The sequence below is a fragment of the Homo sapiens genome, chromosome 17 (assembly GCF_000001405.40).
Source record: "Homo sapiens chromosome 17, GRCh38.p14 Primary Assembly".
Taxonomy (NCBI): Eukaryota; Metazoa; Chordata; class Mammalia; order Primates; family Hominidae; genus Homo; species Homo sapiens.
The window spans coordinates 12,921,795-12,940,679 of record NC_000017.11 but is presented as its reverse complement, the minus strand read 5'-3'; the positions used below and the strand labels follow the sequence as shown (position 1 = coordinate 12,940,679).

General features: G+C 40.4%; 1 protein-coding gene across 10 annotated transcripts in view, besides 1 other annotated feature; it reads right to left on the bottom strand.

Annotated features, from left to right (window-relative positions):
* Positions 1-18,885, bottom strand: part of ARHGAP44 (Rho GTPase activating protein 44) — a 202,146-nt gene that overhangs the window by 50,964 nt on the left and 132,297 nt on the right. For 8 of the 10 annotated variants that reach the window (NR_135569.2, NM_001321167.2, NM_014859.6 and 5 more), the window contains exon 7: positions 11,634-11,751. The exons of the other annotated variants lie outside the window; for them this stretch is intronic. Coding sequence is in view for 7 of the 8 variants with exons in the window: in NM_001321167.2 (NP_001308096.1) it covers positions 11,634-11,751 (118 nt within the window). In the remaining variant the exon portion in view is untranslated. The remainder of the gene's footprint in view (positions 1-11,633; positions 11,752-18,885) is intronic. 10 annotated transcript variants of the gene reach the window in all.
* Positions 492-701: an enhancer, noted in NCBI's record as "active region_11739". NCBI's record gives its function as "activates an Ori minimal core promoter by ATAC-STARR-seq in GM12878 lymphoblastoid cells {active_cell/tissue: GM12878}" and the evidence as "EXISTENCE:reporter gene assay evidence [ECO:0000049][PMID:35858748]".

The window sequence follows — 18,885 nt, the reverse complement described above, 5'->3', positions numbered from 1 at the left end:
CTCTTTGATCATTCCACTGGTCTGCTTCCCTTCATTCTCAATACTGACTCAACACTGATTGGTTGATCACAAGCATATGGGAAAGAGATGGAAATGCACCAATTTGGAGGAAGCTTGGATAAGACAGGTGCACAGGGAAAGGATTGCTGACTCAAAACTTGGCAAAATCTGGACTCATGCAAAACTGCACACAGATCTAATGGTGTTATCAATCCTTCACTATATTCAGTTGTCCATGAGATTGGGTGACCCAATGCTGCATTGAAATCTGGAATGTTTTGTCCTCCAAGGAGAACAGCTTTCAGTTCTATGGAATCACTCATAGCCTGGCATAATAGAAGTACATTTTGAGCAGAATGTAGACTCTGTCATTAACCATATTTTTGAGCATGTCACTTATCCGAACTTGCTTGCTCAAGTCATACGATCTCTAAGGTTCCTCCCTTGTGCAGCTGCTCTAGGCTGCAGATCCTTAGAAGAGGCACTCAGTTGAGGAGAGAAGAGCCTACGTGTTCAGGTTGGGGCAAACATGGCAACAGCACAAGAAAGCTGACCTAGATGCTGAACTAATGAAAGCAGGTAACTATATGCTTCAGGAAGAGGCTCTTCCATGAAACCTCAAGCAATCTGCACCAACCCCATAACCCTCAGTCTCTCTAGCTGCTAATTAAGCCTATTCTCATTAAGAACACTGGGATTTGCAGGAGCAATATGTTTCATTTTCAGTATCTGTGACAGGCAAGCAATTGCTGAGAACATCATTCAAGAGTTCTTGTACACAAGGCAACAGAACAGACTCACAGAGTGAAAAGAGGAAGTGTGTTCTCCAGAGAGCTTGAAGTACAGATTAGACAATGTTATGCTTGGTCCAGTTTCACAGAATAAAGAAAGAGTAAAAGAAGTTAAGATTCATTGGCCGGGCGTGGTGGCTCACGCCTGTAATCCCAGCACTTTGGGAGGCCGAGGCAGGTGGATCACGAGGTCAGGAGATCGAGACCATCCTGGCTAACACGGTGAAACCCCGTCTCTACTAAAAAATACAAAAAATTAGCCAGGCATGGTGGTGGGCGCCTGTAGTCCCAGCTACTCTGGAGGCTGAAGCAGGAGAATGGCGTGAACCCAGGAAGCGGAGCTTGCGGTGAGCTGAGATCACAACACTCCACTCCAGCCTGGGCAACAGAGAGAGACTCTGTCTCAAAATAAAAAAAAAATAAAAAATAAAGAAGTTAACATTCACTGGGTCTAGATGCCAGGCACAATGTTACAAGGAATTCTCCTCTAACTCTCTTAGGTTTAGTATTGAATTTCCAATTTCAGATCCATAGGTAGCAAGAGTTCAAGGATCTTATCTGTCTGTTACCCACTGTCTCAAAGTGTTTAGCACAGTAGGGGCGCCACAACTGTTTGCTGAATGAACAGATGAAAAAAAAAATCAAGGCTCAAGGATGGTAAATTTCCCAAAGAATAATAAAATGGGCTCAAACATCACCTCAGCTCCATTTCACCTGAGGTCCCTTAAATGAATGCTTTTGTAGGCTGCCAAGGTGGGAATCAACCCTGTCTGTCTTCCCCGCAGCAGCTTTGCTCAGGAGATATCCATCACCAGCCAGGCAGCTGGAGGAGGACATTTCAAGTCAGAGAAAAACAAAGAGTTAAGTGATACAAATGGCTCAGTAGACAGAGGAAAGGAAAGAAGGCCCTGAAGGACTAAACGTTGCATCAAATACACCTTCAACATCTCGGCATCTGTGCTTCTCTAACAGATGACCCTACAAAAATCTATATGTGCCCTCAGGAAGAAGAAAGGATTTTTAAAGGCATGATTGGATTACTGTGTTGTTAAGCTAACAATATGGATTCCAAAAAAATCACACTTCAAGTAAGGAAACTATAAATCAAATTCTCATTTATCTAAATCATTAGCAAATTTTCTTTATAAAGGTAAAAAACCCTTTCATAATTAATCAACAGAATTTAATGCATTTTGAAAAATCCTGTTTTCTGATTTTACAACTAATCCACACTCAGAAAAATATAAAAGTAACCAAATTAACCTGTAATCCCACCAGGCAGCTGTTTTTTTTTTTTTTTTTTTTTAATATATAGCTAACCAAATGTCCCAGAACTGTTCATGAATTGAGCAGACTGCTCTATGGTATGAAAATGTCTTATTTATCAGATGAAATCACATTGTATTTGGATTTTCTTCATGCTGGAATGTCTTTTTTTTACTGATCTATATATTTCTGAAATAGTTCCTAAGTTTTAATCATGTGACTGTATAATGTATTTTAAGAACTAGTAATTCAAAGCTCTAGTAATTCTTCCATATTAACTTTTGAAATCTTTTTTCATTCTTTGAAAAATTTACTACAATTATATCTACTTACTACAGTATTAATCAAATTAATTCTGGGAAATTCAAAATGTTTATAATATTAACTCTTCTCATCTAGAAACAACTCTCAATTTTATAATGTCTTCTTGTCATTATATTGTCAAAGATTGTCTTCTTGTCAAATCTTGTTAGCAATATTTTACAATTCATGAGTTTGTGGTAGAATAGCTCATGATTTTATGGCAGAATTTTTTTTTTTTCTGTCACCCAGGCTGGAGTGCAGTGGCACAATCTTGGCTCACTGCAACCTCCGCCTTCCAGGTTCAAGCGATTCTCCTGCCTCAGCCTCCTGAGCTGGGACTACAGGGACATGCCACCACACCCACCTAATTTCTGTATTTTTAGAAGAGACAAGGTTTCACCATATTGGTCAGGCTAGTCTCAAACTCCTGACCTCAGGCAATCCGCCCACCTCGGCCTCCCAAAGTGCTGGGATTACAGGTGTGAGCCACCACGCCTGGCCAATGGTAGGATTTTAAATATTCTGTTGTTTAAAAAAGCCTCCAAGATATTTATAAATACTGGTCTTTTAAATAATTTTTCTTGGTGAAAATCACACCTTGATTTTTATTGTTGACTTCCAGTTTCTGGTCCAGCACGCAGGGGGCTTTGAAGTCAGTACTAACAGGTAAAAAGCTGAACAAACTGAAACTCAACAACTCTTAGATTTGGCAGTGAAGTGAGTTCACAGAGCAAACTGCTGCCCTGAAAATTGGAGACACAGGCAGGCAAACACAAGAATTATAACTCACTGAAGTAAAAAGATACTAGCAGAAACCTCTGCGGAAATCAGTACTGGGGCAGGAAAACCAGTACTGTAATTGACGAGTTGATGGAGGCCCAGCATGGACAAGTGTGAAAGTTAAATCCTCCAGGGGGACCCACTTTTACCTCTAGGAGCTCTAAGATCAGGTTCTCACAGGAAATTTCAGAGAAAAATCCTCTCCTGCTTTCAGCACCAGGAGGAAAAAAGTAGCCATTTTGAAATATACTAGAGTACTCCATTCTTAACAAGGTCTCCCCTAAAGAGAAATTATTTTACCCAAGCCTAAACTATTGGGCTTTTAAAATTGCCTAACCTACCAAGAGGAAGGGAAATACTCAACGCCAACCCCCTCTAGCAATTCTGTCCCACCTAAGAAAGGAATAATAATAATTAAAACAACAACAAAATGAGAGGCACTGGTGAAATTCACAGCCCTAAGGCACAGGCTCACCAAAAGAAAGAGACCGATCATAGCACTATGAATGCTTCCCCTTCTCCCACACCTTACCACATCACCAAAGAACTATTTACCGCTGTTTCTTTTATAATACATCATGTCCGCCTTTCAGCAAAAAATTACAAACACAGTAAAAGGCAAAAAACAGACTGAACAAGGATCAGAACCTTAATTGAAATGGCCAAAATCCAAAACACTGACAACACTAAATGCAGGCACAGATGTGGAGCAACAGGACCTCTCATATATTGCTGGTGGGAATACAGAGTATAGTCACTTTGGAAGACAGTATGACAGTTTCTTACAAAACTAAACATACTCTCACCATATGATCAGGCAATTATGCTCTTTGGCATTTGCCCAAATGAATGGAAAACGTATGTCACATAAAAGCTCGCATGTGGATGTTTACAGCATCTTTGTTCATAATTGCCCAAACTTGGCAGCCACAAAAATGTCCTTCAGTAGGCGAGTGGATAGACTGTGGTATATCCAGACAATGAAATATTATTCAGGGCTAAAAAGAAATGAGTTGTTAAGCCATGAAAAGACTTGAAGGAAACTGAAATGCATATTACTATGTGAAAGAAGCCAGTCTGGAAAGGCTACATACTGTAGGATTCCAGCTATATGACTTTCTGGAAAAGACAAAAGCATGTAAACAATAAAAAGATCAGTGGTTGTCAAGGGTCAGCAGGGAGGAATAAATAGGAGGAGCACAGAGGACTTGGGGGCAATGAAATTATTCTCTAGGATACTATAATGGTGGATACATTCACATACATTTGTCAAAGCCCCCAGAATATACAACGCTAGGAGTGAACCCCTAAGTAGACTATGAACTATGGAAGACAATGATGCACCAATACAGGTTCATCAATTGTAACAGACTCTACCACTGTGTGTGTGATGTTGACATTGGGGGAGGTTGTATGTTTGTGGGGGAATGACATATATGGGAGGCCTCTTTGTATTCCACTTAATTTTGCTGCAAAATTAGAAGTGCTCTAAAAAATAAAGTTTACTGATTTAAGAACGTTTGTTTAAAAAATCATTTCAAAGGTAAAGAAAAGTGCAAAATCTCTGTTTTTCAGAATCACAGATTTGAGATTGAGATCTTTGACGCAAGTCAATTTTATTTTTCTATGCTCTTCTGATTTGTTTGGCTTATTTTTCAGGATCCCCTATTATCTGTACATTGGTTTTCCATTATCTTCAACATCTGCCATCTTTTCTTTCATTCTTTTTGGCTCTCACCTTAACATTCTAGAAGAAATTCTCAAATTTTTCTCTACATCATTGGCTCACCTTTCTGCAGTGTCAATTCTGTTGTTTACTAAAATCGATTCCATACCTGCATTATTTTCCTACTTAAAAAATATTTCCTAATCTCATTCAGTTCCCTTTCCACTTTACTTGACAATTTTATCTCACCTTTATCTATTGGTGCCTAAAATCCATATTCCCTTGATTTTTTTTTTTTTTTTTTGAGATGGAGTCTCACTCTGTTGCCCCAGCTGGAGTGCAATGTTGCAATCTCAGCTCACTGCAACCTCCACCTCCCAGGTTCAAGTGATTCTCCTTATTTGGCTTCCCAAGTAGCTGGAATTATAGGTATGAGCCACCACACCCAGCTAATTTTTGTATTTTTAGTAGAGTATTTCACCATGTTGGTCAGGCTGGTCTTGAACTCCTAACCTCAGGTGATCCACCCGCCTCAGCTTCCCAAAGTGCTGGGATTACAGGCGTGAGCCACCGCACCCGGCCCATATGCCCTTTAATCGTATTTGAGGCACCAAGACATGTTGTCTGAAATTTATTGTTATCATAAGTAAATATTTTTTTAAAGTGTTCTCTTTTTGAGTATTTTATTATTATCTTCAACATAGAAAAGTAATCTATTCAGGATTATTTTTTGACCTTAAAATGGTAAGCATCTCTTTCCTGCCCCTCCTGCCTATTCTGATAGAATCTTCTCAGATCTAAGTTCTGTCCGATATAAATTTAGTGACTCAGAACCTGTGGGGCTGCTGCCACAGAGGATGCCTGCAGGCAACTTCAGAAATCATAATAAAAATTATTTGAATTTGTTGAAGCTAACAGACCAAAGAACATCTTTGTACATGATGTCTTCTGTCCTCCATGTTAGGTAAATGATCTGGCTGTGTCCAGCCTCCTTGTGGTACTCCTGCCTGACACGCCAAGGAAGGTCCCAGCCCAGGTTTACAATTGATAAACCTGTATTGGTGCATCATTGTCTTCCATAGTTCATAGTCTACTTAGGGGTTCACTCCTAGTGTTGTATATTCTAGGGGCTTTGACAAATGTATGTCAATGTATCCACCATTATAGTATCCTAAGAATAATTTCATTGCCCCCAAGTCCTCTGTGCTCCTCCTATTTATTCCTATCCTTCCACTGGTGTTTCAGAAAAATCCACACCAGTGGAAGCTCTGCCACCAGTTGGCTTCCCACTGGGTGTGGCCACGCTTGCTCGTAGGTTTGCTGGGCTAGATACTTTTGGCAGAAGGGATCTGAAGTAACGTAAATGCTTCCCAACCATTCCACAGCCTTCCAAATTAGAGAGTACTGATGGGTTCTTCCAGCATCTCATTTACTTCCCATGACATGGCACTAATTTTGTAGTAAGGAATTGTAGGTTCAGACTCAAGGTTGTCTTTTAGTCTAACAATATATGTGCTCTTCAGATTGTGGGGAGGACAAAATGAGCTAGACATCTGTCCTGCTGTTGTTGTCTTTCCCAGACTCAAGTTTGACTTTCAAAAAGGAAAGATTATACATTGAAGAAGAATAAAATGGAAAAGAAGAGATACAAACTAAAAGAGAGAGAGGACAAGGCTAAATGAGAAAAACAGAGACGTGGGTGAAGCAAGGATAAGAATTTATGTGATGACCAGGCACGGTGGCTCACGCCTGTAATCCCAGCACTTTGGGAGGCTGAGGCGGGTGGATCACGAGGTCAGGAGATCGACACCATCCTGGCTAACACGGTGAAACCCTGTCTCTACTAAAAATACAAAAATTAGCCGGGCATGGTGGCAGGCGCTTGTAATCCCAGCTACTCGGGAGGCTGAGGCAGGAGAATGGCATGAACCCGGGAGGCGGAGCTTGCAGTGAGCCGAGATCGTGCCACCACACTCCAGCCTGGGCGACAGAGCCAGACACCGTCTCAAAAAAAAAAAAAAAAAGAATTTATGTGATGAAATATGGGGAGATAAAAGCAGGAAAGGTGATGATGGAAAGTGTCACTTTACAGTGAAAATCCTAAGACTGCAGCCAGTCTCCTGTACGAAGCAAAATGAAACTGATACTGCTGTTGCCAAGTGGATTAGGTTTCTATTCACTGTCTTCTCTATTGTTACATCATTGCTCACAGGTCCTTCTTCACTTTCTCTCCTCTTATTGAAAAATTACCAACTACTTATACTTCCTTGGATGTATTGATTCAGGGGTCTTTTATAGAAAGCCTTGGGAAGAAAAGAGAAAGCAAGTACCACTTGTGAAGAGTTGGGCTTGTCTCATCTTGAAGTAGGGAGGAAGGCAGGGTTTGGATGGGCTCCTGAAAGAACACAGGAAGGCAGTGCTGCACCTGCAAGCCTGCCTGAGGGCTCAGTGGGTTTTGTCTTATGGAACACATCTTGACTTGGTTTTCCTGGTGGGCTAAATCTCTCTGGTTCCCAAAGATCTGGGGAGCTCTGCTTGGTCCTCAAAAAAGAGGAATCAGATTACTACTTCATTAACTTTCAGCCTACAAACTGGCACTTGGCTGGTTTGCCACAATATAGGAGATCCCAAACACTTGCCTGCTGAGGAAATATAAAACCATGAAGAGATCAGGGGAAATAACCCATTCGAGGAAACCCAGCAAGGGGAGGTAGGAAAACCAAGGTAGATATTTAAAACAGTTGGCAACCAACAAAGTAAAAATAAAAGAATAATCAGAAGAGAACTTTAACAAAACCAGCATTAAGCACTCTCAAGGAGGTCAGTTCAGCACACAAATGAGACTCCCTTGAGCACAATGTAGGGTTTCATGAACTGGATATGATCATTTCAAAGTTCATATAATAAAATGGATGTAACAGACTAGCCAAGATAACTACAAAAAAAGGAGTGGGGGCTACCTTACTGAAGATTATATTTGCTATGAAATCATTAGAATAGAAACTGTATACTATCGTCTCAGGTGCAGGCAAACAGATTAATGAAACATAGAGTCCAGAAATAAATTAGAGTAATTAGATAGTGAAATTTCACTTCAGGGGAAGGTGGCTTATTTAACAAATGATGCTGGCATAACTGACTATCTATCTGGAAAAAAAAAAAAGAAAGAAAGAAACCCCTACCTCACATCATATACAAAAATAAATTTCAGATGTATTAAAGTATATAAAATAGGTGTATAACATGAATTTAAAACATTAACATAAAATTAAAGAAGAAAAATCATTTAACTTTTGTGTAGAAGATGTCCAAAGGGCTACCCAGGATCTTTTCCCATGCAAAGGAAACACATTATTAAATTTTTAATGGCAGATGTCAACATAAAGTCAAAAGACAAATGGCAGACTGGAAAAGGTATCTGCAGCACAGCAGGCAGAAAAAAGTTTAAAACTGCTGATACATAGATAATTTTTATAAATTGATATTTTAGAAAAGCAATAGAAATACTGGGCCAATTGCCAATGCAAATAGGCAATTCACCAAATTAAGAATGTGTATAAATACATGAAGAATGTCCAATAAATACATGATACTCATCAACATTTATATTCAGGGAAATTAAGAACACAATAGTGAAGAGGTAGTTTTTCTTCCCTCACCAAATTGGCAAAAATTGAAAATAGGAGCAACATGCATTACGAGATGAAGAAAAATGTGCAATTTTATATATTGCTGGTTGAAATGTAAAATGCAATTTCCTTTTCAGAGAAGTAAACTGTCAATAGGTATGAAAATTTAAAAATGTATGCATAGACTCTGACCTAAAAATGTCACTTCTTGGAATCTATCCTATAGAAAAAAAATTACCAGGGTATAAGGATATACATATAAGTATATATTTATTGTATCATTTTTGGGAATGCCAAAAACTAAAACTAAAACACACCAGTTTGAACATCCATTAATAGGAAAATAGCTAAATAAATCATGATATGTGTGTGTGTGTGTGTGTGTGTGTGTGTGTGTGTGTGTATCCCTACTGTGGAATATCATGCAATTTATAAAAAAGACTAACGGCTGGGTGCGGTGGCTCATGCCTGTAATCCCAGCACTTTGGGAGGCTGAGGCAGGTGGATCATGAGGTCAGGAGATTGAGACCATCCTGGCTAACATGGTGAAACCCCGTCTCTACTAAAAAAATACAAAAAAATTAGCCGGGCGTGGTGGCGGGCGCCTGTAGTCCCAGCTACTTGGGAGGCTGAGGCAGGAGAATGGTGTGAACCCGGGAGGCGGAGCTTGCAGTGAGCGGAGATCCCGCCACTGCACTCCAGCCTGGGTGACAGAGCAAGACTCCGTCTCAAAAAAAATAAATAAATAAAAAAGACTAAGTTAGAACTACAGCTACTAACCTAGAGAGATGTTCAGGATGTGGTGTTAACTGAGAAAATTAAATGGTAGATTAATATAAATAATATGACTGTTTTATTAAAAACAAACATATAGGCCGGGCGTGGTAGCACACACCTGTAATCCTAGCACTTTGGGAGGCTGAGGCGGGCAGATCACCTGAGGTCAGGAGTTTGTGACCAGCCTGGCCAACACGGCGAAACCCTGTCTCTATTAAAAATATAAAAATTAGCCAGGAGTGGTGGCATGCGCCTGTAGTCCCAGCTACTCAGGAGGCTAAGGCATAAGAATTGCTTGAACCCAGGAGGCAGAGGTTGCAATGAGCCGAGATCACGCCACTGTACTCCAGCCTGGGTAACAGAACAAGACTCTGTCTCAAAACAAAACAGAACAAAACAAAACAAAAACAAACAAACATATAAATAACTAGAAAAATGCTATGACTATGTATGATTATGAAGAAAAGTCTGGAGTATGATATAACAGGTTCTATCTAGCACTGGCTTCCTTATCCTTATAACTGTTATGGCTGCTTGGCACCTAACAAAGTGCATTGTCATAATGAAGTCTTAACAAATATTGGTGGGGAGGTTTCTACCCTGTTTGGAAACAGAAAGGTTGCTGGACAGGAAGGGAGAGAATATTAGTGTTTTTCTTTATATATTTTTGTATTTTTTAACTCATTATGCTGAACATGTACTACGAATCTTTGAAGAGGAAATGAATACATTTTTGGCACAATAGCGAATATAAGCTAGACAGGAATGGATAAAGCTACTGAACTTTTATCCTGATCTATTTGGATATTCACATCCAGCATCCTTGCTTACCACCACCCTCTCTTGTCTATTGAAAAAGAAATTAAAAGAAAAAAGAATTCTTAACAGAGGAACATAGATCCATGGTAGATAGTTAAAAAATAGACGGTAGGCCAGGCACGGTGGCTCACGCCTGTAATCCCAGCACTTTGTGAGGCCGAGGCAGGTAGATCACCTGAGATCAGGAGTTCATGACCAGCCTGGCCAATATGGTAAAACCCCCGTCTCTACTAAAAATACAAAAAAAATTAGCCAAGCGTGGTTGTGTGCACCTATAATCCCAGCTACTTGGGAGGCTGAGGCAGGAGAATCACTTCAACCTGGGAGACGGAAGTTGCGGTGAGCCAAGACCGTGCCATTGCACTCCAGCATGGGCAACAAGAACGAAACTCTGCCTCAAAAAAAAAAAGAGAGAGAGAGAAAAGAATAAAAAAAGAAAACACAGTAAAAATGAAATTGGAAGGAGAGAAGAGTTATGCTTCAGGAATACCACACACGCCAGATATTTGGCATATATGCAGGAGTTCAAATGACAAATCAGCTGCACTCACAAAAAATCTGGCATATGAAGTACTAGTCTTACTTTGCTTGGTTCCATAGTACTGTAGGCTGGGAGATAATGAATTCTTTAAAAATCTTTCAATGTTTCTAATTCTAGAGAGAAATTCTCCCTGATTCTGAATGTCACCTGAATGCAAGGTCAAAGCCACTTGCACAGGGTGGCTGTAAGAGAAAAAGCCTATGGACAAGCTAAGACTAGACAGAGCCATGAAGAACAGAGATGTCCACAGGCAAACTGGTTATTCTCCTTCAAAACTGGATGTGATTAGGACAGGTTCCCAGAATAGTTACAGAAATGTGATGTTTTTGTTCCTTGGGTCTAAATAGAGTTTTGGTTTCCTTAGAAACCCAAGCTGACATATATGCAGGTAAAGAGATGTACATATACACAGAGCATCGTGAATGGTCTATTGCTACCTAAGTCCTGTGAAATATTTGCAAGAAAAGGAGATGGGAAACATCTGAATGAGTACAACGAAGGACATCATTACACGAGTACAGAGTCGCAGTTTTCAGAACGATGTCCTCTCTCTTAACAAGTGGGAAGTTTTCTTTTCTGTGACTCTTTTCATGGCTAGCATTTCAACTTCATAGATAAGTGTCTTCCAGGAGGCATAGGATGGATAAAGCAACTCAGGAAATATCAAAACGCAGCCAAAAAGGAAATAACTAAGTATCAACAGTGAGTCAAGGCTCATCTATGGTCAAATTCTCAACTGTCCTGTGTCACCTAGAATTTATTCTTTGGGACTCAGATGATTTACAAAAGCTTCACACAGAAATAAAGGTCATTCCTCTTTGCCTAGCATGCAGGACCACCAATGATAAATGAATGCTGCCTCCCTGTCTAGGTCACCATCAAAGCCCCAACTCCTTGGGTTCATCCTGGACTCCTTGGAGATGCTAGCCGGCGGGCTTGGGGACATTCAGTTCAACTAGAGCCTCACTGACAGAGTTTTAAGAGAACTCCAGTGAACAAAAAGGGAATCCCTGAGGGCTCCCCAGCCTGTCCCAGTAGAGAGGAGCAAAGAGGGCAGGTACCCTGCAAATCTCCACTCTGTTGGCAGCCTCTTCCATTTCTTCCCTGAGGGCATCAGCCTTGGCACCCGCAGGCTGTAAGCTGCTGGACAAACCTGAAGACTTGGAAGTCTGCTGCCACCTGATGGAAAATAGGAGAAAAAGAGATGTGAGACAGGTAGAGCCCTGGGGATCCCATGGGAGCACTGAGAAAACATCTGGTTACAAATATCACCCAGGGAACTACATACCCTCACTGGAAAAGGGAGGTCATGAAAAGGCACCAAGGACTAGGCAAGGAGACAGTGGGCCCATATTTCCATGCGTCAACTGCTTACTGAAGCTGAGAATCAGCTGCCCCTTCAGATAGGACGAGCATCCCCTGGTTTGTCACTATTTTCTCTATTGTCTTCCAAACACTAAAGCCAAATGGCAATCACTACTGCTGTCTTTTTAAAAAAATTAATGTTATTTTTAATGGATAAATCATAATCATATACATTTATGGGTACAATGTGATGTGTTGGGATATATGTACACATGTACACACACACACAGTATGGAATGATTAAATCAAGCTAGTTAACATATCCATCACCTCACTTACTCATGATTTTCTGTGGTGAGACATCTGAAGTTTAATCAGGGTGATTATAGTAATATACTGTATATTATATATTTCAAAATAACTATCACTGCCCTTTAAGCACAGTCTCTATCATTGGTTTAAGTCCCCTGCCTATCCTGTGGGAATTTGAGTATGGAAATCCTCACCTTCTTGGCTTGAAGCCAGTGACGTATGCTAAGTGAGAAGACATGCTGGTAAGATTAAAAACAAATCTGATAGCAAAAATCTCCACTGGTAAGCCCAAAACAATTTTTATGGCAACATTTAGATTCCTCATGAATGTTTTCTTAAAAATTTGGCCTTCTAACGAAGTCACTCAGAAAACTTTAGGAGGAAATACAAATATTTCTGGCTGCTGTGTTATCAGCAGGGAATTACCAAAAGTAGGCATAATTGGAAAGATGGTTCCAATTATGCTATAGTAGTAGCTGAATTAGGTCTCAGCAGTGGGTTCCTCTCCTGAGTCTGTAAACTCAATGGGTTATAGAGGCCAGCAAGTTAAAAAAAAATAAAATAAATCAAATGGGCCATTATCTTAAAAACTAGTCCGCACGATCCTCTATTTCCTACTTGTAATGGAGACAGGAAATATAAAACTATTTCTCAGCTCTAAGAAAAACAATCCTGTAATCAGGAGGACAAACAGCAGCCAAGGCTGGCTTTAGTCTTGGGAAGTCAGGCGGGAGCAGGGGGAGCTGGGAACTTGGTAGGAGGGATCCTGCCTTGTTTAAGAGAGGGTAGCTGTTCATGAGCTCCAGCTGATGGGGCTGAGGTGGGCAGGAAGCTGGGTCATGGGTTGCCAGATGTTTCAACTGACTAGAGAAGGAGGAAATTGTTATGTGAACTCTCCCAAGTGAAATGTGGCAACAAATAATTTCTTTTAAAAACCATGCAGGCTAACAGCATACAGACCAAACAAGAGAGCTCTGGGGGCTCTATCTGGATCTCAGACCATCAGTCTGCAGCCTCTGATGCGAGGACAGAAAGTAGAATGTCATTCTCATGTCAAGAGTCAAGAATCTAATCATTTAGTATTTTCTCTACTCCACTATTCTTTTCTCTTTTGCTATCTGCAGGAAAAACAGAAGAATGCAAGGCTCTATAATACAAGAAATGGAAACTAAAAGTCTCCTTGCTGTTAGCAAAAAGGAGCAAAAATGAGGATTCTCTGTCACTTAAAGAATGCAATCACGGGAAAATTACTTTAAAAAGGTTTTGAGACATCAAGCTGGCTTGAAGCTCCAGAGATGAACACATGTTCTCTGAAAGATTCCTGATTCCAAGATAAGAATTCAGGGCAAACTAGAAAGGAAATATTCTACTGAAAGATGTTTCAACATCTAAGTTGAAAAAAAAATAACAGATCAAGATTAGGAAGAATTCCTGGGTAATTTTTTCTTATAAAGGTTTACCCTATACAAGTGATATATTTGATTAATACTCTCCCAGTTGAATCATTTCAAATAAAGTATTAAAGTGTTGTGGAGTTTTGGAGAATAAAATACGAGATGCCATGGCTGTAATTTAGATCTCAGACAATAACTACAACACAATGGTAGATTATGGAATTAAGTTAGAACCACCATCTGACTCATGCTACCTGAAGAAAAAATAACTAACCAATATGAAAGTGTTTAAAATATATATAAAGTGACTACAAACACTAAGTAGATTTTTATGGCTTTGTAACTCAGGATTAAATTTTTTAAAAAACAGAATCATACTAAATATAGGTATATTAAAATGAAGACATTTTCCCAAGTTCCTTCTTTTCTTTTTATTCTCATCTATTTTTTCCTCCAGATTTTATCCTGTAGTCAGTATCTTGATGCTTTAAAAACATATACATTTCCCCTTTTTATAAGAAATTTTATTTACAATTTACAATGTTATATATATAATATATATGTATGTATAATATATATGCATATATAATATATATACATATATTATACATACATATATATTATATATATTATATATGTATATATATTATGTATATACATATATATTATATATACATATATATTATATATATACAATATATATTATATATAATACATATATAATTTTTTTTTCATATCAAGTCTCGCTCTGTCACCCAGGCTGGAGTGCAGTGGTGCAATCTCAGCTCACTGCAACTTCCACCTCCTGGGTTCAAGCGATTCTTCTGCCTCAGCCTCCCGAGTAGCTGGGATTACAGGCACATGCCACCATGCCCAGCTAATTTTTGTATTTTTAGTAGAGACGGGGTTTCGCCATGTTGGTCAGGTTAGTCTTGAACTCCTGACCTCAGGCCATCCACCCTCATTCGCCTCCCAAAGTGCTGGGATTATAGGCGTGAGCCACCGTGCCTGGTCTATTTTGATATTTTAAAACAGTGACAAGATGTCCAAAATATGTTCTCTTTGTGGAACATAAATAGCAAACAAAATACCAAGGTAAACTCTTGTCATGTGAACAGACGAGTTTTGTACAGATACTCATGCTGGAAAAGGTGACATGAATTTTGTACAGATAGTCATGTTGGGAAAATTTTGTACAGATAGTCATTTTGGGAAAAGTAACACGAATTATGAATTTCAAGGTTTGGTAGTCTTTTCAGACCTCTGTTCTACACATAAACTCAAGAGTTGGGCTGCTCTGTCAGAGGAGAAACAGGAACACTAGACATTGTCCAAGGAAACTTTGAGCTTTGAAAGTTGAAGAGCAGAAGGATCATTTCTTCTCACTAAAGTAGCTGATGTACCACCATCCTTCTCTGGGGAAAGAGGACTTGTGACTATGTGATCTGGGGGAGATGAAGATGGGACACAAGCTTTAATGAAGCCTTGGGAGAGATGAGAGAGAAGGGAGAGGAATAAGGGTTTAAAATTTCAGGTACCAGGAATATGTAAAGAAGGCAAATGCAGGTCAGTTCAGGACAACAGAATGTCCAGAAGAAGAATTTTAAAAGGCAGACAGGAGAGTGTCTTCATTGGGGCATTCACTGTTCCTTCTGTCTAGTCTTGCCCCTTCCTCTGCCATGGGCATCCCCCACTTTTTAAGTTCCTGCTTCCACTCTGCAGTAATGTGTGGTCAAAAAGGGGACTGCCAGGTTCTGCATGACCCAGGCAGTGAGTGGCCCAGGTGAGGGCCTCTGATCCAAGTCAAGCCTGTGCCATCCTTCCTCACACTGACCCAACTGACGAGTCATGGAAGTGGGCATATGAGCAAAGTCCAGACAAATGGAGTCCCTCTTTGGCACTTTCGGAATTGGGGCAAAAGGAAGAGGGCTCATAGTGGGGAGACATGAGCCCATGCGACATCCAGTGACCTTGAAGAAATCAGATGTGAGAAAAAGACACCTGTATGGGGAGGGGTGAGAGACGAGGAATGAGTTTTGATGGCCATCGAGACTCCACTGCCAGTTCTAACAAGACTTCACACTGCCCCGCCTCCAGAATTCCACTTCTTAACTCCATAGCCTGCACAGTTTCCACTCCAAAACCCTCCTGTCTTACTTACACTAGTTCACTTGCTTCCAAAGAAGGTAGGGCTTCCATAACAAAGTACCACAGACTGGGTGGCTTAAACAACAGAGGCTTATCTTCTCACAATTCTGGAGGCTGGACATCCAAGATCAAGACAGAGGCTGGAGACCTCTATCTGTGACTTGCAGATGGCTGCTGTTTCTGTCCTCACACAGCTTTCCTCTGAGTGCGTGTAGAGAGAGAGATCACTCTTTCTCCCTATAAGGCCACCAATCCTAGTGAAATAGGGGCCCATTCTTATGACCTCATTTAACCTTAATAAGGTTCTCCTAAAGAACCTATCTCCAGATACAGTCGCATTGGGGGTTAGCGCTTCAATATACAAATTTTGGAGAGATACCATTCAGTCCCTAGGACCCAGAGGCAGCTGGTTCGGCAGAAATGGAATGTGTATGTGTCCCAGACTCGGGAGGGTTAACCTTGAGCTACATGACCAGAAAAAAGTCAGGCTGACTTTGGAGAAAAATTAGGCTCCTTCTTTAAGCACTGCTAAACCAAACCTATCACACACAAAAAAGAAATTTGCGTATCATTCAATTCAATTCACAACCTTTAATTCAGCATAAAGCGTCCTGTAAGCATCAGTTTCTCTGAGAATATTGAGGTCTGTATCATTGGCTTTTGAAGCAGACAAGCCAGATTTACTTCAATAGTGACAAACATACACATCTTATTGGGATCTAATTAAACACGAGATAAATTAATTGGATTTGACAGTATCCATCAGAATTGTGGCAGAAATTAAAGATCCAGTCATGGGACTATTGTTCAAGATGTGCTGATAATATATACAAATCTACTTCCTGTCTTGAAAGGCGGAGGGTCTCTATGTGGAATTCACTGTTGCAGTGCTGCAGAGCATACTTCATGAAGGACAGAACAATATGAAATAAATCAGAAGTAGGATGCTGCAAGGAAGAAAAACTAACCTGTGCCATTGGCTTTATGGAGAAATGCAGGGGGTAGGGGGGGAGCATTCAGAACCCAGCTGTTCCAGAAGAGGAGCTGGTGATCCCTGCTGTTCAATAGCACAGCATTTGGTCTTGCTCTCACTGCTATATCTTGGGATGCAGACCTCATACGGGCTAAGAGTGAGGAGTTAGGGAAAATGGCAGGAAGTTGTGTTGGGTTGGCTTCTTATGGCTTTTGGCAAGGTCCTACAAGACAGGTAGACTCAGGCTAGAAATGGCCAGTCTGAGAGTAAAGCGGAAACAAAGAGTATACCTTTGCTAAAAATGCCCTTTTCATCCTGTAGCCTATAACTCATACTTATGGGGAATCTATAACTTGAGGCCTTGAGTTAGATCTCCCGCCACGGTTACCAAAGCTGACACCTGAAGGGGAAATCAACTGAGTTTTCAAGGGGACTGTACTGTCAACAATCCCCCAAAGCGGCCGGGCACAGTGGCTCACGCCTGTAAACCCAGCACTTTGGGATGCTGAGGCAGACGGATCTACCTGAGGTCAGGAGTTCGAGACCAGCCTGGCCAACATGGCGAAACCCCGTCTCTACTAAAATTACTAAAAATACAAAAATTAGCTGGGTGTGGTGGCGCCCATAATCCCAGCTACTCAGGAGGCTGAGGCAGGAGAATCGCTTGAACCTGGGAGGTGGAGGTTGCAGTGAACTGAGATTGCGCCATTGCACTCTAGCCTGGGCAACAAGAGCAAAACTCTGTCTCAAAAAAACGAAAAAACAAACAATCCCCCAAAGCAATTCCCTATCCCTAAACTCACAACTGCACAAAGTGGGCTATGAAAAATCACCGATGTGATAAAGGAGACGGATCAAGTTTATATGAAAACAATGCAAACAAGACTTTTTTAGTCTAAAACAACAAAGGTTATAAAGGGTCCAAGTTGAAGTTTATAAAAACAGAAATTTGCATGGGGGTGGGGTAGAATTTCCTTACTAGATTTTAATATACAGGAGATGATAAGCTGAAGATATAAAAACATTTGTTAAATCACAGGGGAGAGGTCCCTAATGACACCAAGTGGCATGTACGTTTGCAGAACCTACAGACTACTTGGTGTCACCACTGAAAACATAACTCTAGACTTTGTCTAGTGTTCCTGCTAGAGGAGTTCGTGACCAGCCTGGCCAACATGGCGAAACCCCGTCTATACTAAAAATACAAAAATTAGCTGAGTGTGATGGCAGGTGCCTGTAATCCCAGCTACTCGGGAGGCTGAGGCAGGAGAACGGACCATCAATGTGACCAGGAATAATTCTCCTTCTCATAAGAAGACAAAACAAAAATATGTATGGTAATGACATGGTTTGATACTAGCATTCAGCCTGCTAACAAGAGGCTCTGTGGTGGAAATGTGGGTTTTCTTTGTAGATGCAAAGAAAAGACTTCAGAGCTAAGCCCCAGGTTTCAGAGAAGGATGTCACTCTGCCCAGGAGCATGGTGTCCACCTCATGAAAACAATGGGGCAATCTGCATTTCTTCAGCCATCTTACATGACTCCCAAAATAGGGTACTTGAACACTCATATTATGGGATGCAATTTTACGTGGCACAAGGTCATAGAGGTAATAGCAAATCAGTACTTCCCACTCATTCTGCTGTCTATTCCTCCAAGCACGCTAAAGAGGTTAGTCTCATATTTGCATCAGAATAATTTTAAAACCACCTAACGCCTCGCCTCCCCTTCTTCTTTTTTAACAAAGGAAGATGAGCTTCAGGATGACATTCTTCCACAGTCAACAGGCTCTAAAATTTAGTAACATTGGCTTTGCTTTCATCTGTTCACTTTTATGCTTACCTGGTATTTGTAGCAAAGGATACTGCTTTCCAATTTATGGTAGCATGAAAGGATTTCTTTTCAAAATATATTTATTTTGAAAAAGTAATCAACTCTCTTAAAAGATGTATCGACACAGATGGCAAAAATCATTCAGGTGGACTGAGGGTTTGGGGACAAGTAAGTTAACCAAAGAAACCCTTGTTTCTTTGCTGATTTTAACCTGTTTTATGTCTGGTCTTGGGGGACTGCTCTGTACCTTTTATTCTTCCTGATGCAGAATTCCAGTGCAACAATTACTTACAGTATCAGCTTCTTTTTATAAAGCACTTGGGAAGTGATATTAGTACTCAAAACAGCC